The 23,351-nt window shown below is 37.9% G+C and overlaps 1 protein-coding gene across 5 annotated transcripts in view; it reads left to right on the top strand.

Annotated features, from left to right (window-relative positions):
• Window positions 1-23,351, top strand: part of MICU2 (mitochondrial calcium uptake 2) — a 111,480-nt gene that overhangs the window by 82,409 nt on the left and 5,720 nt on the right. For all 5 annotated transcript variants that reach the window (NM_152726.3, XM_047430142.1, XM_017020433.2 and 2 more), the window contains 4 exons: window positions 435-517; window positions 7,344-7,409; window positions 11,661-11,758; window positions 18,665-18,836. In NM_152726.3, the coding sequence (NP_689939.1) occupies window positions 435-517; window positions 7,344-7,409; window positions 11,661-11,758; window positions 18,665-18,836 (419 nt within the window). The remainder of the gene's footprint in view (window positions 1-434; window positions 518-7,343; window positions 7,410-11,660; window positions 11,759-18,664; window positions 18,837-23,351) is intronic.

Genomic DNA, 23,351 nt, shown 5'->3' with positions numbered 1-23,351 from the left:
CTTTGTACTATCTTTACAAAATTTCCATAAGTCTAAAATGATTGCAAAATACGTTGTTGTTGTTTAAGTACTCTGAGAAAGGGAAATAAAAAGTAATCATTAATTTGAAAATAACCAAGGTACTGTAAGAATATAGAAAAGCCCCTAGTGCAGCTAAAGAAATAAATTAAGCCTACAAACTAATTTTGCATTGAAAGGGAGAACACTTACTAGCAGAGCAGCAGCACCTATGGAAAGAGTGTTGAAGAAGGCAGGGAACAAAGCCATAACACCAAATATCAGCCTTTGGAATTGTTATAAGAAATCATTATTTTTCTGTGTAGGCACTTACTCATACAGTTTCTGCTAGTGTATGTCAAATTTGAAGACCTATCTATCTACAAATAACTTGGTTTTCATCAACATTTAAATATTCATTTTTCACTTCACTGCAGAACCCCATTCTGGATTTCATGTTGCTTTTAAAATGCTGGATACAGATGGTAATGAGATGATTGAAAAAAGGGAATTTTTTAAGGTAAGTGGACGCTAATTATTTTAGGTTTATCATAAAATACCTGGATGTTTGTGTGATAATTTTACATTTCCATTAAAATCAAAATTGTATTCATTGTTTACATATGAACTATCAGGAAATTATTTGGACATTCAAAAATATTAAATTTTCTATAATACAACCATAAGGACACCAGTAAGTGAACAGAGCATAAGATTCCAAAAAGAGAAGTAAGCAGAAGCATCTGTTTTTTAGGGTTACATTTTTATGATTTCAGCAAATAATATGGTAAGAAGAGTTTCATAGGATATATATTTTTTAAAGAATATGTGTTGATATGCTAAAATTATACTAAAAATTATTAAAGATATACAAAAAGAATAGACATAATAAAAACTTAAGCCTTCATAAAGAATTGGAAAAAAGTGAAAATGCTGCAATAGTTATAAATTGGTGCAAATTTTCCAGGAATTTGCTCTAAGGCTAATATTTGAAGAGCTGAAAACGTGTTTAAATGGTATTTTCTAAGATGTAACTCTAGAACACCCAACAAGTAAATTTGACTCCGTTCCCAAAAATTTGGTGCTAATATTAAAAAAAAAAAACAAAAAAACCTCAATGCACATCAACAGTTTGGTATGTGCCAGTTAGGGTTAAGTGTTTTTAATCGATTGCAGTGCCTTATGGAGAAAAGAAAATATAGATATATATATGGCATAGTGCTTAGCACATACTAGCTATCCCTCTTGATGAATTAATGAGTACTTATGTAAATGACAAATTAGGCGTGTACATAAATGACTTACAACATTTTTTTTAAAGCCTTTGTGATATGAAGCAAACGAACCTCTTACATTGCTGGTGGGAATAAAATGGTACACAAATGTTAGAAAACAAAATTGGCAGATTCTTTTAAAGTAACATATATCCTTGGCATATGACCTAGCAATTCCACTCTTACTTAGTCAAGGAAAACATATTCACCCAAGACCTGTATATTAATATGCATAGTTGTTTTATTCATGATAGCCAAAACTAGAAACAACCGAAATGTTCATCAAGTGAGTGGATAAACAAATAGGATCCATACAATAGAATACTACTTAACAGTAAAAAGGAACAAACCACTGATAAATGCAGCAACATGGACGAGTACATACTGTACGATTACATTTATTTGAAATTTTAGAAAAGGGGACTTACCTACTAAAAGCAGATCACTGGTTGCCTGAGGCCAGGAGAGAGTCAGGAATTGACTGCAAAGAAAAATGAGAGAACTTTCTGGAGTACTGGAAATATTTTAGATCTTCTTTGGAGTGGTGGCTACACTGGTATATAAATTTGTCAAAACTCATCCGGTGCATGATCCTGAAAGCAAAAACTGCATTTAAAGGGGTACATTTTACTGTATACAAATTGATTCCAAATCCATCTTGTTCTAGAGCCCCTGCTCTTTCCTCATTGTCAGCCCTCCTCATTTGAAGAATTCTTAGGAGGCCTGAGTTGAGAAAGATCCTGACTCTGAGCTTGGAAATGTTGGGCTTGAGCAACTGAATGGCCATCCCTACAGATGGACAAGAATAGCAAGCAACTGGAGATCAGTAATGTAGCCAGGATTGGGGAACATCCTCATAGGGGTGATAATTAAGTCCTGAAAGTATATGACCCCAAAGGGGAAGAAATAGAGTGAAAAGGGATAAGACCAGAGACTTGGGGAGCAGTGTTTCATTTATGAGGTCAAACTGAGGTTGAGAAGCCAACGAATGAACCTGAGAAGGAGCAGAACAGTGAGCAGAGTACCAAAGAGCCCAGAGAGTGCAGGATAATGGAGTCTGAGTGCAGGATAATGGAGTCTGAGGAAGACAAGAGCAATGGGAGAGGGAGTGTTTAAAAGCAGTGAACTCTCGAGGGTGGGCACGGTAGCTCACGCCTGTAATCCCAGCCCTTTGGGAGGCTGAGGCAGGCGGATCACCTGAGGTCAGCAGTTTGAGACCAGCGTGACCAACATGGAGAAACCCCGTCTCTACTAAAAATACAAAAAATTAGCCGGGCGTGGTGGCGTATGCCTGTAATCTCAGCTACTCAGGAGGCTGAGACAGGAGAATCGTTTGAACCCAGGAAGCGGAGGTTGTAGTGAGCCGAGATCGTGCCATCGCAAGCGAAACTCTGTCTCAAAAAAAATAATAAAAATAATGAAAAAGACACCGAACTCTTAAGAATAAAAAGTGGGCAGCTAGGTAGGGACTGAGTAGAGAGCCTCTGAAATTGTGTAGGTCAGTTGGAACCATTACAGAGCAGTTTCAAAAGAGTCGTGGGGACCGACACCACAGAGCAAAAGGCTAAAGAGGAGTGAATAGAACTTCAAAACTGGTAGCAGTAGATAAAAATATTCATTTGAGATATTTGAGGACTTAATCAAATATCTCAAATAAATATTTGAAGGAAATGTGTTTGCACAAGTGGGACCTGAAATACCAGTGCCATAAGTCACAAAATACCATCCAGCTACTTCACTTTACCTCAGGGACAAGAAATTGATAGATTTAAAACTATTATTATTCATATGGGGGTAATTTGTATGAAAAGGCCATATACCTAAATAAGTGAAATTCTGTTAGGTTAGTTAAGCTGTGAGAATTTGCATTTACCATAATCCTTTCAGACTTGGGAGGATTTTATTTCTGTTTTTATTCTTGGGAGTTACAAGGTACACAGCCAAATCTTGGAATTACTGGACCCACTGTACACACATCCAAGAATAGTAAAGCTGGAGGCGATTTTATAAAGTGGGCATAGCGGAGCCCCTGATAATAATAGTGGGTGTCATACTCATCAGCACCAAAGTTTTGATGCACTGTGGTAATGTTTAGTGATATGTGGCCAAATCACAAAGTCCGTAGACAAAGGAGATCCTGAGCATGAAACTGAACATGAAAAAAGGCAATAGAAGGCATATCGTTGTTGTTGTTTTCACAGAGCTACACTGATGCGCCTTTTACCATACAGTCCTTATTGTACCTACAGCCTCTACTCCTGAATTTGTTATGCATACCTACTTTAAAATTTTTTCAAATACATTTTTTCACACAATAGCTTAACATGCTGAATTTATGGAACAATTTCTGAATACCACAGATATCTCCATAAATGTTGGAAAATTGTTGGGTGATTACCTCATGAATTAAGAAAATATCCAAAAGAATATGTAAGGATACATCATTGATTTTGTTTTTAAGTATATAAAGGTCACTTTTGTAAACATGAAAGAAGGTTCTTTGTGCTGATCATAGAAATGAACCACTAAAGTTGATTACCCATAGAGCGTGATACAGCATGTCATTTTAAAAAAAAACAGCATTGAAGAGGAAAAACTACATTTACATTAATTATTTGAATAGTTTTTTCACTTCCATGATCTTTGTATTAGTAAACCTAAGTATGTAGCGCGTGTGCGCGCGCGCGCGCGTGTGTGTGTGTGTGTGTGTGTGTGTGTGTCCTCGCTCTGTCACCCAGGCTGGAGTGGTACAGTGGCGCAATCTCTGCTCGTTGCAACCTCTGCCTCCCGGGCTCCAGCGATTCTCCTGCCTCAGCCTCTCGAGTAGCTGGGATTACAGGCATGTCCCACTGTGCCCAGCTAATTTTTTGTATTTTTAGTAGAGACAGGGTTTCACCATGTTGGCCAGGCTGGTCTCGAGCTCCTGACCTCAGGTGATCCACCCGCGTCAGCCTCCCAAAGTGCTGGGATTACAGGCTTGAGCCACCATGCCTGGCTGTATGTAGCATCTTATATTTGAGATTTTCTTCAAAGAACCAAATAGTTCTTTTCACATCAAAAAAGCATATTTAAAAGGCAGGGATTTATCTTAGCTTATCTAAATGTTTTCCTAGTAGATTTTATTTATTGCTCTCCCCACCATATATGTACTACAAAAGTAATGAGAATCACTTTAATACCTAAAACATAAATGTAACAAAGTGATTTGAGTAGCAAATGTAAAAGTAATAATGAAGTATGGTAATAAAAGCCTTGTGAAGATGTCCTAAAATACAGATTGCCTCAGTTTGTTACTTTTGTGTTTTGTAAATATTCATGTTTTATTAACATTCAGATCTGAAAACTGTGTTAGTAAGTGTATTGCTTACTTCTTTATCCCAAGAACTCGTAAAATAGCAACTGTCTGTGTGAGCTGTTCTCTGTCAGCTAATAATAAAAAATAGCAACTGTGATCAAAGCCAGGAATGGTTAATCCATTTAATCTTTACCTTGATCAATGGTACATGTGCTTATGTGGGATACATGCCAGGGTTTTAGTGCAATCTCTCTAAACAGTAGATTAATGACAGGTCTGTTTCCTAGTATCGGTTGCTCCTTAGGTGGTCCTTTTATTTCACATTGCTTTCATATTGGTGGGAAGGACTGCACACTTAATATAGTAGCATTATAGTTTTATCATACTAAATACACCTGCTAGAGTTATTTTTAAATAAATATAGGTGCCTTTTACGTGAGTTGTCAGGGAAATGCAAGTTAAAACCACAATGACATACTACTACACTCAAGAGAATGACCAAAATTAAGAAGACTGGTCACATCAAATGTTGGTGAGAATATGAAGAAACCAGAATTCACTTTGGAAAATAGTTTGGCAGTTTCTTATAAAGTTAAACAGATTTGTTATCTCCTACGTGTTTATCCAAGAGAAATTAAAACCCACATCCACAAAATTGAGTTGTAAAAGATGTTTGTGGCATTTTGATTCACAGTAGCCAAAAACTGGAGCCATGAAAACACCTATCAACAGGTGATTGAATAAATAGTGGTATATTCATAAAATGTAATAAAACACAACAATAAATGGCAACAGACTACTGACAGGCAAACAACATGGGTGACTCTCAAGACCATTATGCTGAGTGAAAGAAGGCAGACACAAAAGAATACATACTAGTTAATTTCATTTATTTGAATTTCTAAACTAAGGGAAACTAATTTAGGTGGGGAAAAAAATCAGAACTGTCTCTGTGGGAACAAGAATAAAAGAGAAACCAGGATTGACTGGGAAGAGACACAAAGAAACTTTGTCAAAATTGGCTGATATTTGTACATTTTAATATATGTATTTTTTCCTGAAGAGCTGTAAATAATAATTGGGAGGGGAACAGGGAGCAGGTAGAGGTATAGAAGAGCCAGGAATAGCAGAATACTGGTAATTATTGAAGATTAATAATGTTTACATGGTGACTTGTTGTAGAATTCTGTTCATTTTACTTAAGTTTGAAATTTTCTGTAATAAAAATTTGTAAGAGGTTCCAGGGGAATAAGCACAGGGAGAAATGTTTGGATATTGAACTTGGCATTATATCATTTGATTGTCAACTTTAAAAATAAAAGGTAAAATAAATATAAAGCTTTTTAACTTTTTTCCCAAAAATAATTAAGTAGGGGAAAGGGGGGCATTGAAAACTGGCTGAGAGATTTAGAGAACTAGAAATAAACCACTTGCCTAAAACAAACGTAATAGAAATAGCTAAATTCAAAATAATTAATACGGAATTAATTGCAGCAGTTTTCAAACTGTTAAATAGCCCAGAAAAAAATGGATAGAGGTTTGTCTCCTAATTGATTTGAATCCATAGTTTGGGATTTTGTCTACATCTGATTCTTTTAAAATGCTTTCTTTTTTAAATTTGCTTTCCATATGAGGATTGATACAATTGATTCTGAAAGGCAGGTAGGTTTTTTAATGTACTCAATTTCAAAGTACTATTTACAGTGTCCTAATTAGTAGAAATGTAAGTCTTTAAATTATTTTAATGCTTTATAAATGCATAAAGGGAAAAGGAAGACTATGTGTATGATATAAATAGCTTTTTTAAAACTATAGGCCGGGCACAGTGGCTCAAGCCTATAATCCCAGCACTTTGGGAGGCCGAGGCAGGTGGATCACAAGGTCAGGAGATCAAGACCATCCTGGCTAACACGGTGAAACCCCATCTCTACTAAAAATACAAAAAAATTAGCCAGGCATGGTGGCGGGTGCCTGTAGTCCCAGCTACTCGGGAGGCTGAGGCAGGAGAATGGCGTGAACCCGGGAGGCGGAGCTTGCAGTCAGCCGGGATCGTGCCACTGCACTCCAGCCTGGGTGACAGAGCGAGACTCCGTCTCAAAAAAAAAAAAAACTATATACTTGAAAATGTCACCATAAACTAGTGATACAACTAATTATGAATAAAAATTATCTTGAAAGGACAGCATAATCTTGAAGTTCTTATAGAGTGCTGCCTAAGAACATGTATCTATTAAGTAAACTAGCTTTCTTAGTAGAAGATTGTAGTAATAATAATGTTAATACTTTGTTATCTCTTTTGTCCTTTGATTCTTGCATTGTCTAAGAGAAAAAGATAATAGGAGTTATGATTAGAAAAAATTTAAGGTGGTGGCTCACACCTGTAATCCCAGCACTTTGGGAGGCCGAGGCGGGTGGATCACAAAGTCAGGAGATCGAGACCATCCTGGCTAACACGGTGAAACCCCGTCTCTACTAAAAATACAAAAAAAAAAAAAAATTAACGGGAGTGGTGGCGGGCGCCTGTAGTCCCAGCTACTTGGGAGGCTGAGGCAGGAGAATAGCATGAACCTGGGGGCGAAACTTGCAGTAAGCCGAGATTGCGCCACTGCACTCCAGCCTGGGCAACAGAGTAAGACTCCATCTCAAAAAAAAAAAGAAGTTAATATTTAGCAAATAACTAGTATATATTTTATAACAATAAGTTGGCATCTATTTTTTAGGTTGTTTTGAAAAATCTGGTAGGCACACATGTAAACTCATGTTTGTAATCTTTTTAGCTGCAGAAGATCATAAGTAAACAAGATGACTTGATGACAGTGAAAACTAATGAAACTGGATATCAGGTATGTACAGATGATTTCCAAACAATTGATATTTATAATAGCTACTCTATTTTGTTTGTTCAGATATTCCCGATAGTTACCAATAGATTTGGTATCAGCAATTTAATTTTTTTAATACAGTCATGCACCACATAACTTTTCAGTCAACAACAGACTGCATATACGTGGTGGTCTGAACAATAGGCTATACTTTATGGCAGAGGTGTGTGGTGGGGTATACCATCTAGGTTTGTGTAAGTACACTCTGATGTTTGCACAGTGACAATCACTTAACAATGCATTTCTCAGCAATACATGACTGTATTTTAAATATATGTGCTATATTTACATGTTCCTAACTTCAGGTGGTGCACAGGAGTATGTAGGTAGAGCAGAATTTCCCTCTCATTCACACAGTTCTCCTCCCTGGGCAATTAGTACTTTTAGTTTCTTGTGTATTCTTCCAGAGAGATTTTATGTATATATAAGTATACATGTAAAGAAGTAAATAGATATATCTATATTATTTTTTCTGTTTTAATATAAGAAGTAACATACTCTACATTGTTCCACACTCTTCTTTTTTAACTTAATATATGTAAAGTTGTCTTTTTTTTTTTTTTTTTTTTTTTTTGAGACAGAGTCTCACTCAGTCTCCCAGGTTAGAGTGCAGTGGCGCGATCTCAGCTCACTGCAACCTCCACCTCCCCAGTTCAAGCGATTCTCCTGCCTCTGCCTCCCAAGTAGCTGGGATTACAGGCACATGCCACCCACACACCCAGCTAATTTTTTGTATTTAGTAGAGACAGGGTTTCACCATGTTGGTCAGGCTGGTCTCAAACTCCTGACCTCAGGTGATCCGCCCGCTTCGGCCTCCCAAATTGCTGGGATTACAGGTGTGAGCTACTGTGCCCAGCCCGTAGTTTTTTTAAAAGCACTCATTAAAACAAATAGGGCAGGGAGGTGGGCATTGAACTTGGTAAAGAGCATCTACAAAAAACCTACAGCTAACATACTTATTGATGAAAGACTGAATTCTTTTCCCCTGACATCAGGAGTAAGGCAAGGATGTCCATTCTTGCTACTCTTGTTCAATACAGTGCTGAAAGTTCTAGCCACTCCAGTAAGGCAAGACAAGGAAATAAAAGGCCTATTGATTGGAAAGTAAGAAATGAAACAGTCTCTTTTCGTAGATGGCATTGTCTCTGTAGAAACTCCCAGGAAATCTGCAAAAAAAAAATCACAAAACAAAACAAAGCTTCTAGAACTAATAATTGATTTTAGGAAGGTGACTAGGTACAAGAAAAATGTACAAAAATCAGTCATGTGTATATATCAGTGAACACCAGGGACACAAAAATTTTAAATATAATACCATTCACAATTTTCAGAAACTAAGGAAATCTCTTCAGCAAATGTTGCTGGTACAACTGGATATCTATGTGTAAAAGAATAAAGTCGGACTCCTGTCTCACACCACATATAAAAATTAATTCAAGTAGATGTAAGAGCTAAACTTATAGAGCTCTTAGAAGAAAACATAAGAGCAAAGCTTCATGGCATTGGATTTGGCAACAGTTTCTTAGATAATGATACTAAAATCACAAGCAACAGAAGAAAAAGTAGATATATTGGATTTCATCAAAATTAAAAATTCGTCATTTTGGGAGGCGGAGGTGGGCAGATAACGAGGTCAGGAGATCGAGACCATCCTGGCTAACATGGTGAAACCCTGTCTCTACTAAAAATACAAAAAAAATTAGCTGGGCCTGGTGGCGGGCACCCGTAGTCCCAGCTACTCAGGAGGCTGAGGCAGGAGAATGGTGTGAACCTGGGAGGCGGAGCTCGCAGGGAGCCGAGATCGAGCCACTGCACTCCAGCCTGGGCAACAGAGCGAGACTCCGTCTCAAAAAAAAAAAAAAAAAAAATTAAAAATTTGTGTTCATCAGAGGACACTGTCAAGAGTGTGAAAAGATAACCAACATAATGGAAGAAGATACTTGCAAATCACATATCTAATAAGGGTCTATCAGTATATATAAAGAACTCTTCTTACAATTTAACCACAAAGTGATTAACAACCCAATTAAAAACTGGACAAAGGACTTTTAATATTTCTCCAAAGAAAATAGGCAAAAACAAGCACATAAAAGGATATTCACCACCTTTAGTCATTAGCGCAATGCAAATTAAAACCATAGAGAGATATACAGCCACCCAAATGACTAAAAACAAACCACTGACACACCAGATGGTGGCAAGGATGCAGAGAAACTGAATCACTCATTGCTAGTGGGAATGTAAAACCACCACTCTGGAAAATAGTGATTGTGCTCCTGGGATTGTTCGTACAAAACCTGTACACACATGTTCTTAGCAGCTCAGTTGGGCAGCATCCAGCCCAAACGGGAAACAATCTAGATATCTTTTGTTGAATAAACTGTGGGACTCCATTACCATGAAATACTGCTCTGCAATAAAAAGAAACACAATTGATATGGCAAAAGATACGACAACCTGAATGAATCTCCAGAGAATTATGCTGGGAAAAAAAAAAAAATGCCAGTTCCTGAAAGTTACAAACTGTATGATTCTATTTATATAACATGTTTGAAATGACAACATAATGGAAATGGAGAATTCATTAATTGTTGTCAGAGGCTAAAAAGAGGGTGGGAGCAGGAGGAAAGCTGGTGTAGCTATAAAAGCAACATGAGGAATCCTTGTGGTGAAGGAATGTTCTATATGTTGACTGTGTCAAGTTGTGATATTTCACCATAGTTTTGCAAGATGCTACCATTGGAGGATACTGAGTAAAGGGCAGAGAGGATCTTTTTGTATTGTTTCTTACCATTGTGTGTGAAATCTATAGGTATCCCAAAATAAAAAGTTATTTTCTTTAAAGGTCTCATGAGAAATACTTATTTGTTCCTTGGGTTATCAGTTCTTCTAGACTGGGTTTTTGTGCCTTTTACCTGATTTGTTCTTTTTCTATTTCTTGCTACAGTGTCTTTGTATAGTTGTCATGCCTTACATTTTCCTCATGCCCATGCTCTATCCAGACCCTCTCTGCTCTGGTAGAGCACAAATGATATTCTCCTTAATACTCTTCCCACCATATCTGGAACTAATTTATCTTTTCCCCTGAGCTGCAGGTGCTGCATTTTGCTCCACCATTTTGTTGACTAAAGGAGAGAAGGGAGTTCCCTGGTCTAAATGTAATCCTTACTGGAGCACCTAGACTCTGCTTTCTCTCTGTGATTCTATTAAAATGTTCCAGATCACAGCCCACTCCACCCTCCAAGGTATATCCCACCCTGTGGGCTTCTGATTATTCCCTCAATTTAACATAGTGCCCTGAAAGAAGCCGTTGAAGCCCTTCTTCACTGTGCTCAAGTCCCACCAAGCTCCAGAGAGGAGCTTGCTGAAGAGTTTGCCATGACTTGTCTCAGGGTTGTCTTCTCACCCTGTTAATCTACTTATTGCAGAATTGAAGATTTTAATGAATTCCTCCTAAGGAATTCATTAAATGAATTAATGAATGAATTAAATGAATTCATTTAATGAATTCCTCCTAAGGCAGTAATCTGACATTCTGAGAAGCGGGGTCGGGGTGGTGGTAGGATTAGGAGACATGCTAGACGATCCCACACCTGAGTCTACTGTTTCTCTGACTGCTGTTTTTCAAAATTGTGGCTTAAACTTATACCCCCTTTTGTTGTTTGGTTGCTGATGGTTTTTTCTTTTTTTTAGCAGTTTTGTTATTTTTGTTATTTTATTAAAGAATTGAAGAATGTGTGAATCTGCCTCACTCATTACGTTTAATGGAATTCTCACCTGTTGATTTTATAATTAGGAAAAGCAAGTGTTTTCCAAGTATTTCCAACATTCAACAAAAGCTCAAAGACTTTCTTGCTTTAACTCTCTCAGTGCTGCTTCATTAGTAAAGGCCTAGAGATCATATTTTGAAGTAACATTTATTTCACTATTCTAAACTTCCTTTTTGGCCTGATCTAAGATCTTGTTTCATGCTGAAGTCCACCTTGAGTATTTTATCCCTTATTGTTTATTGCCTACTTGAACAACGATGGTTATGGAGTGTTATGCAAAATAACAGAAGGAATGGCTCTATCCCTCTTTTACAACTTTTGTTGTTGTTGTTGTTGCTGTAAGAAGAATCCTTTCTGGATATTATTCTAAGATTTCTACTCTACAGATTCTATTTTTATTCTTATTTATAATTATTTTAAATTATTGTGATTTTTTTAATAGGAAGCAATAGTGAAAGAACCTGAAATTAACACAACTCTTCAGATGCGTTTCTTTGGAAAAAGAGGACAAAGAAAACTTCATTATAAAGAATTTCGAAGGTAAATGCAAATATTTACATTCATTTAGGGAAATTTTATGGGTAAGAAATAAAGAGAAACAGAATATATTCATTTTCTAGAACTGCAGATCATAAAACTAAAATACTGTTTGTGGATTTTGTGGATCTGTGTAGTATTTATCTCTGAGAACTAAACCTATGAAATAGAAACTAAAATTAGTATGCTCAAAATATCGTACCTTACTATAGAAAGTAGTATCTGTTTCATAGAATACAATAATTCTTTTTAGTAACTTAATGTTTGCAACAAAGAACCATGCGCCTAGCGTCAGTTGTTCTTTAGGCGAAACAAACCAACCCAACTTAAAACAACAACCATTTGTTATTTTTGTGAGTCTTTGAGTCGGTTGGGCAGTTCTCCTGATTGGAACAGGATTGGCTGATCTTGACAGTACTCTTGCATTTGCAGTCTGCTGATGGGTTTGCTGGCTGCTGGCTTTTCTAAGATGGTCTCAACTGGGACACCTCAGCTCTGCTTCATGTAGTCTCTCATTCTCTAGCACAAGGGTTGGCAAACATTTTCTGCAAAGGCCTAAAGAGTAAATATGGTCTCTGTCACAACTACACAACTCCATGGTTGTAGTGTGAAAGCAGCCATAAACAGTACATTAACAAATAGACATGGACATGTTCCAGTAAAGCTTTATACTAACATTAATTTTAAGTACTTATTTAACCTCCCTAAGCTCATTTCTTTATCTAAAAGGTAGACATAATAATGCTTACCTTATATGATTATTATAAACATTAAAATACAGTGTCCTGTCTACCATCTTCCCAATGATAATAATGCCATGCATAGTGAGACAGTGCACCTCCCTGTGCTACTCCACTAACCAAAGTCTTAAAACAGATATCAAAAAGCAGTACAGAATAGTGGGGAAAAACACTGACTTGGGAGGCAGGAGACCTGCATCTTATTCAGCTGAATCTAGTTTAATAAAGATTTATTGAATGTGATATATGCTATTATGTGTCAAATTACCCCTCAAACACTAGGGATAGTACTGGAAACTATCTAGTAAACATGCAGAAAAACATTTAAATACATTGTAGTCAGTGCTTTCTTAGATAAATAGGGTATTTGGGTAGCACAGAAGATCACTTAGTGTACCCTGTGTTGAAGGTTGGGACTAGGTGATCAGGGAAGGCTTTCCAGAAGAAATACTAAGTTGAATCTTGACAAACTAGCTGGGATTAACAGGCAAAAGTGGTTTGGGCAGGGAGGCATTTGAGGGAATGATAACACAGCAAGAGCAAAGACGTAGAGGCATGAAAGTGTATGGTTTGTAAAGGGAATTAGAAGCAGTAGAGTTGATAAAGTAGGAAGCATAAGGTGAGGAGAATGGAGGCTGGGAAGTATGAACTTACCTGTGTGAAGGTTTTATACACCATAAGATAGAGGTAGCTTGTTGATTAACTCAGTGATGAGAGGCCCTGAAGAAGGCCACGTGAAGGGTATTTGGTCAGATGTGCCCATCACTCTGGCAGCAGAGTAAAGGATAGGTTTTATGAGAGAGAAGACCATTCAGATATTCCAGAAAAGAAATAAGAGCCTTGGGCCGGGTGTGGTGGCTCACGCCTGTAATCCTGGCACTTTGGAAGGCCGAGGTGGTGGATCACGAGGTCAGGAGACCGAGACCATCCTGGCTAACATGGTGAAACCCCGTCTCTACTAAAAATACAAAAAATTAGCCAGGCATGGTGGCAGGCACCTGTAGACCCTGCTACTTGGGAGGCTGAGGCAGGAGAATGGTGTGAACCCGGGAGGCAGATCTTGTAGTGAGCCAGGATCGTGCCACTGCACTCCAGCCTGGGTGACAGAGCGAGACTCCGTCTCAAAAAAAAAAAAAAAGAAAGAAGAGCCTTGAACTAGTGTAGTGGCAATAAGGATTTTGAAGTAGAAAAGATTTCCAGACACAGGAGATAAAATTGTAGGGCTCAGTGATTGATTAGATTTAAGGAACGAAGAAGAATGCATGAAAATCCAAGTGCCTCCTGCCCTTCAGCCTGGGTGACAGAGTGAGACTCTGTCAAAAAAAAGAAAGAAAGAAAGAGAGAAAGAAAAAGAAAAGAAAATCTGGCCGGGCGCGGTGGCTCATGTCTGTATCCCAGCACTTTAGAAGGCCAAGGCGGGCAGATCACGAGGTCAGGAGTTTTTAGACCAGCCTGGCCAACGTGGTGAAACCCCGTCTCTACTAAAAATACAAAAATTAGCCGGGCGAGGTGGCAGGCATCTGTAATCCCAGCTACTTGGGAGGCTGAGTTAGGAGAAGTGCTTGAACCCGGGCAGCAGAGGTTGCAATGAGCCAAGACTGCGCCACTGCACTCCAGCCTGGGCAACGGAGTGAGACTCGTCTCAAAAAAAAAAAAAAAATCTAAGTTTCTGAATTAGATTTTTTCTAACCCCACTAATCCCAGTTTACCTGATGGCTACACTGAGTCATTTAAGCTCTCTAGAACAATTTTTTCAACAAAATTTTAAACCATACCTCTTCTTGTATATTTAAAATATCAGTCTCTCAATGTTTTTTAACGTTCCAAAAATATCATAATTTAAAACAAGGAAAGCTATTATCATAATACTGATATTGTCATATTACTGGGATAATTTTTCAAACTGTATTCACAGAGATACTAATATGTCACTCTACTTCACTTTACGATTCCCTAACTTGTTAACTTTTAAGGTTGCTTCTCACCTTACTTTTCTTCAATGGGAATGATTTTGTTTAGAATTCTTACTTTAAATTTTTTTAAATTAGTTCTTCTATAAATTATGGGCACTGTGAAATTTGTCATACCATCATGCAATTTTTTTAATCCAATTAAATTAACAAAAACTTTAAAAATGAAATTTTTCAAGAGCTTTCTTAGATATTGCAAAGTGTCCCTAAAGGTAAAATTGTAATTATACTAGGCTGGAATTTATGGCAATCATAAGATAATCTCTTAAATTTTGCTAAGTCATAAAATAACAGAAAATGGCTTCTAATAATATTTTCAAAAGCTTGCACTAACGTACTAGCCAAATTAATCATTGATATTCCACAAAAATGGTTTCATATGTAATATTTTGAGCTTATACTTTTGTGTTTCTGGGAGTATAATGTTATAACATGTTTAACTGACGATGTAAGGAGGCAAAGGCTGAAAATACAGGAGTGACAGGGTATCGCTAGAAGAGCAAGGTCCCTGAAGGGAGGGAAGTACAGGAATATAGGTGAGATTCAGAGTGCAGCCATCGACAGGAAAAGGGACTCCCCATCCATTGTGACAGGAAGAAGAGGGTGGGGAAAAGGATGAATGTGGATGCTGTTACAATTTTTAGTGACAATAAGAAAATGAATGAATTTATTAAACAATGATTTCTAGTTTCTGTAGGAAGCAGGGGCAAAGTCATAGGCTGAGGATAAACAGAAAAGAGAGTGAAAATGAAATAGCCTCTATGTAAAATCAAAAAGACACATTTCCAGGCTAGCAGAAGAGTGTCTGTAAGGGTCAAGGACCCAGTTGAAAATGTGCACCATGAATTTGTGCAAATACCACTATGTGCAGTTAGTTATAGTATGGTTTTCTTTAAGCCATACTTGAAGAAGGCCTTTTGCAGCCCATTAGAGCTGAGGTTGTGGGTGAGAAAGTGGAAAGCAATTAACAACGGAGTCTGGAGCTGGGCGCGGCGGCTCACACCTGTAATCCCAGCACTTTGGAAGGCCAAGGCAGGCAGATTGCTAGAGTCCAGGACTTCGACAGCAGCCTGGGCAACATGGCGAAACCTCATCTTTACAAAAGAGATGGGTGGGGTGGTGTGCACCTGTAGTCCCAGTTACTTGGGAGGCTGAGGTAGGGAGGATCACCAGAGCCCAGGGAGGTTGAGGCTGCAGTGAGTTGTGATCACACCACTGCACTCCAGCCTAGGCAACAGAGTGAGACCCTGTCTTCAAAAAAAAAAAAAAGTGGAGTCTGGGCATGAAGAATGAAAACGAAAAGATAGTTACATATCATCCTCAGTACCATCACAGCAACTGGCAGGTACTTACATGGTGCATGGCGTCTTTCTAAGTATTTTCCATATGTGTCATCTCACCTATCCTTACAAGGTGAGGTAAGTGTCTTCTCTTTATAACTAGAATCTGATGAGGTTGAGGGACTTGATACAGGATCACATACTTTAGAAACTGAAGAGGCGAGATTCAGGTTTCTCATGAAAGGTTTAAGTGATCATGTAGTTTCTGAAAGAGTTCCACAGTTCCCTGGTAGGTGGTGGGTGCATTGAATGGGCTTTCAAGTACCAGACTAGGTTACCAGAAGGACAGTCATATACAGTAGATACTACCACGGATCAAAAGAAACTCATCAGTTAAAGAAAAATTTGTCACTTCTTTTCTGATTTTTTTTTTACTTATACAACTAATCAAAAAGATTTTCCAGCTGAAATATCACTTAACCGTTTAAGTAAAAACCACAGTGTAATTTAATTCTGTCTCCCAGAATTTTGGTGTGCTTTTATTGTTATGAAAGCAGCAGATAATTTAAATTCTGAAAATTGAGTTTTCTGTCAACCTACTACGTATTGTTCTGGGGGAAAGCATTGACTCTTGGGCTACTCAGGCAGCTCCTGATGGCATTTACCCGCCCTGCATCAGTGCCTTCTGATTTTGTTGTGTTTTTCTGGTCTTTTTTACTCTTCTCTCCTACTCTCTTTGGTGATTTTTCTTCTTCTGCATTTCTTTTCTCTTCTTTTAAACTCCATGATTAGCCTTAAAGATAGTGACCAGAAATAATCCCTGAGTTTATTTCTATTCTGACACATTTGACCTCATTTTTTATTCCAATGAATTTTTTAAACTGAAAATAAACCTGTGACTTAAGATATATAATGGTTAGAGGGAAGAAAATTGGCCTCAAGTCTTCTCGTCAGGAAAAATTGGGGAGGATATTGATACTGATGTACTTTTTAGGGCTGAGTTTGTTAAAAATTCTGAAATACCAATTATTAGTTGAGGATTTCTGAGTTTCATGAAGCGTTTTTATAAATTCAGAGGTGTCTAGAGGCAGTGGTGTGCTAGTAAATATGTTTAACAATCATCTGTCTCAGGAAAAACAGCCTTGATTTGTAGTGTTTGCCAATTAGTAGTATAAATAAATAAATACTCTACCATGCCAATGTCAAGCTCCCCTGCATGAAGCAGAGGTGGGAAGACATGCATGATAGACTCACAGCCTGTACGCGCCACTCCAGTACAACACTGCCTAAACAATTCCAATAAGGAAAAACAGATCTCTCCCATTGTTTCCAATTAACCCACTAATTTATAAAGTATGTAATTTGTTCACAATGTGTCTGGCAGCCTTATCTACTATAAATTTTCCAATTCATATATGCATGTTCAGCTCATGTTCCAGAGTTTCATGTTATAACAAGATAATATGATTTTAGGCTTAAAGGGAAAAGATTATCATCATAAATTGATTTATATTCATTAAAAGTAGTGTAATTAGGTAAGATGAAAGTAGCTTAATCCAGACAATGTATAGTTTAACAGCAATTAAGTTTATAATATTTCAGCCTCTGGTAGAGGCTCGCATAGAGCCTGAAGAAAAAAGGGAAAGGAACAAGTTAGTAATGGTTTTATGCCCTATCTTCTGCTTGCCTAATTCAGTGTACACTCATTTGCAAGTAAAGCATACATTTAACAGTTCTAATAAGAATCAGTTGAATGTCATTACAGTATACAGGGCAGGAAAACTCAACAAAATAAAAGGCAAAGTATATCAGTAAAATATTTTGTTGCTCTATCAGTCCAAATTTGAAATACTTCAAATTTTAGATAAAGTTCTGCTTTGACCCAGAAAGAAACATGGCATTGATGAATCCGTGTATTCAGTACATTCAGAAAATGTTTTAAGTAACAAACTCTTGCCTACCATGTAGACAGAAGTCTAAGATCAAACTCCTCCTTCATGCTTTTAAGATTTATAGGATAAATGTAGAACTTCAAGCAAGTCATTTTTTAAGTGATGATTTTTCTCCCACTGAACTGGAATGTCCCTCTTCTATCACCCCATGTATATTTTCATTTGAATTTGACATGACAGATAGTACCGATCTTTTCACATGTGGAAAAGTGAATAAAGGGATCTGCAGCATATTAAAATGCATGGAGATGATAATACTTTTCACATGATTTAGGTTATAAATAAATCAAGTGCAACGTTTCTGGGTTCTTGTTCAAAGAAGATATATTTTCATCTGATATCTTTTCAACGTGTCCCTTTCCTGGGAAGCCATTGATGACAGTTTGATCGAAGTACCATGTTGTTTTTGTAAGAAAGGAATGTTGAGTCATATCGACATGTATTATTGTCAAAAAGATTATGTTTTTAGATAGAGCTAAGCTTTTGATGCCAAGCCATTGATTACACTGATTAACTTTGGTATTTGAAAAATATTAGGAAGTAGTAATTATGATTAACATTCTAAAAGCAGTGTCCCACCTCAATTTTAAATTTATCTGATTATTGATAATTTTTCTGTATTGGAAAATAGTTTCCATGGAATTGTTATTTTCTATGGATGTATCAAAGCAACATTTGACATATTTTTTTAAGTCTTTAGGTTTATCAGAATGTAGGTTGCCAGGTATAACTTACACAAACAAGTTGAGTATAGAGAGTTACTGATGGAAGCCAGTGTTGGACTTAATCAGTTTCTCTGCATCCTTCCTCTCCCCACAATCCTTGCACAGCACTAATGCTTCATCCTGCTTACCATCAGGAGGCAGCCACTCAGTAGGTAATAGTGAAGGTACTTTGCAGACCCATTTACAATATTTAAGGTTGAATGCCACTAGTTACCTTACTAATTTTGTATTTTAACATTCAGATTTATGGAAAATTTACAAACAGAGATTCAAGAAATGGAATTCCTTCAGTTTTCTAAAGGTTTGAGTTTCATGAGAAAAGAAGACTTTGCAGAGTGGCTACTTTTTTTCACTAACACTGAAAATAAAGATATTTATTGGAAAAATGTGAGAGAGAAGTTGTCAGCAGGAGAGGTTGGTATACCCTTTTATTATGCATGTGATAAAGATGAAATAATAAGTTAGACATGTTTACATAAAGTAACTTCTGAATTAACCAAGACTGTGCTACCCTCGATGGTATATAAAATCAACTTGAGGAATGTTCTCTACATGCTCTTCTCCTGTAAAGGAAAACTGCCTAAGACAGAATCAGTGTAGCAATTACAAGTTTTCCATTTCCAGTAAAGTCAAGAATAAGACAAGTATCACTACTGTTATTTAATATCACTCTGTAAATCTTAACCAGTCCAAATTAACAAGATTATTTAAAAGAGTATAAAAATGTGAAAGGGGGTAGTAGTTGTCTTTGTTTTTATATGATGCAATTATATGCCTAGAGAACCCAAGAGAATCCAGTAGAAAAACCGTAGAAACAATAAGAATTCAATAAAGTACCTGTCACAATGCTAATATATAAGCAGCAGCAGCTCTCCTATATACAAATTACAAGTAGAAAATGTAATGACATGCATATGTGTGTGTATATATATACGAGATGTATGAAATGATGATTGCCAAGCTATTAATAATTATTCATGTACAGTGGTGAGGTTTCAAGTGATTTTTACTTTCTTTCTTTATACCTTTATGTATTGTTCCAAAAAAATGTTTACAATGGACATGTATTTTATGTAACTTTTTAAAAAGTTACTTCTATTGTAAGAAAAAAATAAATTGCAGTAGAAGAACCCAGTTATAACTGCAAGATAAATATATAACAATTAGAAATAAATTTAACAAAAAAAAAGAAGAAAACTTGATAGCCTTGATGGATATAAAAAGAAAACTTATCTAATTATAAGACATCCCCTATTATTGAATAGAAAGTCTTAGAATTATAAATACAGCAATTCTGTCTTCAGTTAGTCTATAAGTGTAATGGTTATATTAGAACAGCCCAAGTTTACTGCAGTTACAAATTAACCCTGAAATCCCCCTGTCTGACACTGAGTTTCTTGCTCAGTCATGCCGCAGTTCCATTGTGGGCTGATAGGAGTCTCTGTCCGCATAGAGGTCTAGACCCATTCAGAGGTCTAGACTCTCTGAGGCTGTGCCATCTTGGAGTTACATCATCTGAAAGAAGTACCACGCTCAGAGGCTGTGGCAGGAAAAGAAGGAGGGGAGTCAAAATCCAGCAACTAAATGTTTTGGCCTGGAAACATCACATGACACTTGGCTATTGGCCAGACTAATCACATAACCCCACCTGAATGCAGGGAGGCAAGGAACTTCAGTCTTTCGTACGTGCAGGAATCAGAAAAGATCCAGATACTGGTGAATACTCGTGGGTTTCAATAAAAATACCATTGAATTATTGGGAAGAAACTAGACAAGCTATAAAACTTTATATGATCACGCCTGTAATCCTGGCACTTTGGGAGGCCAAGGCGGGCAGATCATGAGGTCAGGAGATCAAGACCATCCTGGTTAACACGGTGAAACCACGTCTCTACTAAAAATACAAAAAATTAGCCAGGCATGGTGGCAGGTGCCTGTAGTCCCAGCTACTCGGGAGGCTGAGGCAGGAGAATAGTGTGAACCCTGGAGGCAGAGCTTTCAGTGAGCTGAGATTGCGCCACTGCACTCCAGCCTGGGTGACAGAGCAAGACTCTGTGTCAAAAAAAAAAAAGACTTTATATGAAAAGAATGTCAACATATTAAAATATATTATCAAACCTTGGTAACTAAAACAGTTTGTTACTGACAATGAATTTGACAGACTCCAGAAATAGACTTAAGCATATGAAAAATTTAGTAATTATGAAATAGTATTTTAAATTAGTTGGGTAAAAGAATTATTAATAAATGGCAGTAGGATAATTCACTGGCCATCTGAGGGAGAAAATGAACATAAATCTTTACACCATTCATTACTCTAAAATAAATTTAGGATGAATCAAAAAATTAAATGTTGAAAAAATGAAACTGAGTAAGTGTAGAAGAAAACATGGAAACAATGTTTCATCTTAGGTTATATACCTTTCTAAGCAAAACCCAAAACCTTTCAAAGAAAACTTGATGAAATACCTAAAAATTAAAATCTGTTGCCTCACCTCGTCCCCTGCAAAAATTATAATGAGAGTCAAAATAAAAAGTTAACATGAAGAAGGGGGAGATATTGATATGTAAAGACCAATTTTCTTAATTTATAATGGGATCTTTAAAAATCAGTAGGGATTGGCCGGGCGTGGTGGCTCATTCCTGTAATCCCAGCACTTTGGGAGGCCAAGGTGGGTGGCTCTCTCAAGGTCAGGAGTTCGAGACTAGCCGGGCCAACATGGTGAAACCCCATCTCTACCAAAAAATACAAAAAAAAGTAGCCGGGCATGGTGCCACACACCTGTAGTCCCAGCTACTCAGGAGGCTGAGGCGGGAGAATTGGATGAACCTGGGAGACAAAGGTTGCAGTGAGCCAAGGTCACACCTGGGCAACAGTGAGACTCTGTCTCAAAAAAAAAAAAAAAAAAAAAAAAAAAAAAATCAGTAGGTATCAAGAACTTTAAACGGTCTGAGATTTTTTTTTCCCTATTTAATATATCATGAGAACTTGAAAATCAACATGTGAATAACTGTAAAGTGTCTGAAATTTTATCCCTTTGCAGGTTAGCCTGCACAGTTTCATGGATGCTTGCAGAAGATACAAGACTATTGAGTCAGACACAAAGAATTTTATTATCGTAATGTAGCAACAACATGAGTAACATATTTGTGTCAGTTCCCCCTTGCCTCCCAAGCCCCATGGGCATGATGCTGAGAGGCCCAGGTAGATGCTGCCCACACAGCAGATTCACATCACAGCTGAGGACCCTCATCTTAGTGATCTGAATGTTTTGTAATGGGCAAGTAAACAAGCCTTCCTGAGCTTTGCTGCAGTGGGAGGCATTGTGTATTCATGATACTGGACAGTAAGCAAAGCTGTCCTGTGCTCCTGAGGAACAGTGCTGTCCGCTATACAAACAATTCTCCTGCCTCAGCCTCCTGAGTAGCTGGGATTACAGGCGCATACCACCATGCCTCGCAATTTTTGTATGTTTAGTAGAGATGGGTTTCACTGTGTTGTTGGCCAGGCTGGTCCCAAACTCTCGGCCTCCCAAAGTGCTGGGATTACAGGTGTGAAATCCTCGAAGATATAATCTGGAACAAAAATGCAGTCGGTGCCTCTGATAGATGTACAGAAACGTGAGACCCAGCTGGGCACGGTGGCTCAAACTTGTAATCCCAGCACTTTGGGAGGCCGAGGCGGGCAGATCATGAGGTCAGAAGATTGAGAACATCTTGGCTAACATGGTGAAACCCCATCTCTACTAAAAATACAAAAAATTAGACAGGCGTGGTGGCGGGTGCCTGTAGTCCCAGCTACTCGGGAGGCAGAGGCAGGAGAATTGGTGTGAACCCAGGAGGTGAAGTTTGCAGGGAGCCGAGATTGTGCTACTGCACTCCAGCCTGGGTGACAGAGCGAGACTCCATCTCAAAAAAAAAAAGAAATGTGAGACCCATGGAGAACGGTCTCGCACAGTAAGTTACCTAACAACCCATTAGAAATCTGGGCAAAGGACATAAACAGGACACAAGAAGAGAAATCCACAAATGACTAATAAGCATGTGAAAAATGTTTAACTTCATTCACAATTGAAGACATGCAAATTCAGGCCGGGCCTATGGCTCCCACCTGTAATTCCAGCACTTTGGGAGGCCGAGGCAGGTGGATCACCTGAGGCCGGGAGTTTGAGACCAGCCTGGTCAACATGGTGAAACCCCGTCTCTTCTAAAAATACAAAAATTAGCGGGGCGTGGTGGCGCATGCCTGTAATCACAGCTTTTCAGGAGGCTGAGGCAGAAGAATCGCTTGAATGAGGGAGGCGGAGGTTCTGGTGAGCCAAGATCACGCCACTGCACTCCAGACTGGGCAACACAGCAAGACTCCGTAAGACATGCAAATTCAAACATTAATAAAATACCATTTTTCATCTATCAGAAAAGCAGACATCAAAAAAGTTGCATCCAGTGCCTACTTCGAGGTCATGATAGAAGCAGCCACTCTTATTTGTGCTGATAAATACACTGGTTTTTTTTTTTCCTTTTTTCCCTCTCTATCATCTTGTAAATATACTGTTAAGAGAATAAAGCAAGGTACAGAAATATGTGAAGAGATTGTTCCCATTGTGTAAAACAAGGAGACGTGTGTGTACATGTATACACTTTAATAAGAATAGAATATTAGCCAGGCGCGGTGGCTCACGCCTGTAATCCCAGCACTTTGGGAGGCTGAGGTGGGTGAATCACCTGAGGTCAGGAGTTTGAGACCAGCCTGACCAATATGGTGAAACCCCATCTCTACTGAAAATACAAAAATTAGCCGGACGTGGTGGTGGGTGCCTGCAGTCCTAGCTACTCAGGCGGCTGAGACAGGAGAATTGCTTGAACCTGGGAAGCAGAGGTTGCAGTGAGCCAAGATTGCGCCATTGCGCTTCAGCCTGGGTGACAGAG

The sequence above is a fragment of the Homo sapiens genome, chromosome 13 (genome assembly GCF_000001405.40).
Source record: "Homo sapiens chromosome 13, GRCh38.p14 Primary Assembly".
In the NCBI taxonomy this organism is placed as follows: domain Eukaryota; kingdom Metazoa; phylum Chordata; class Mammalia; order Primates; family Hominidae; genus Homo; species Homo sapiens.
Note: the sequence above shows the minus strand (reverse complement) of the source record. Positions and strands in the feature narration are given on the sequence as shown.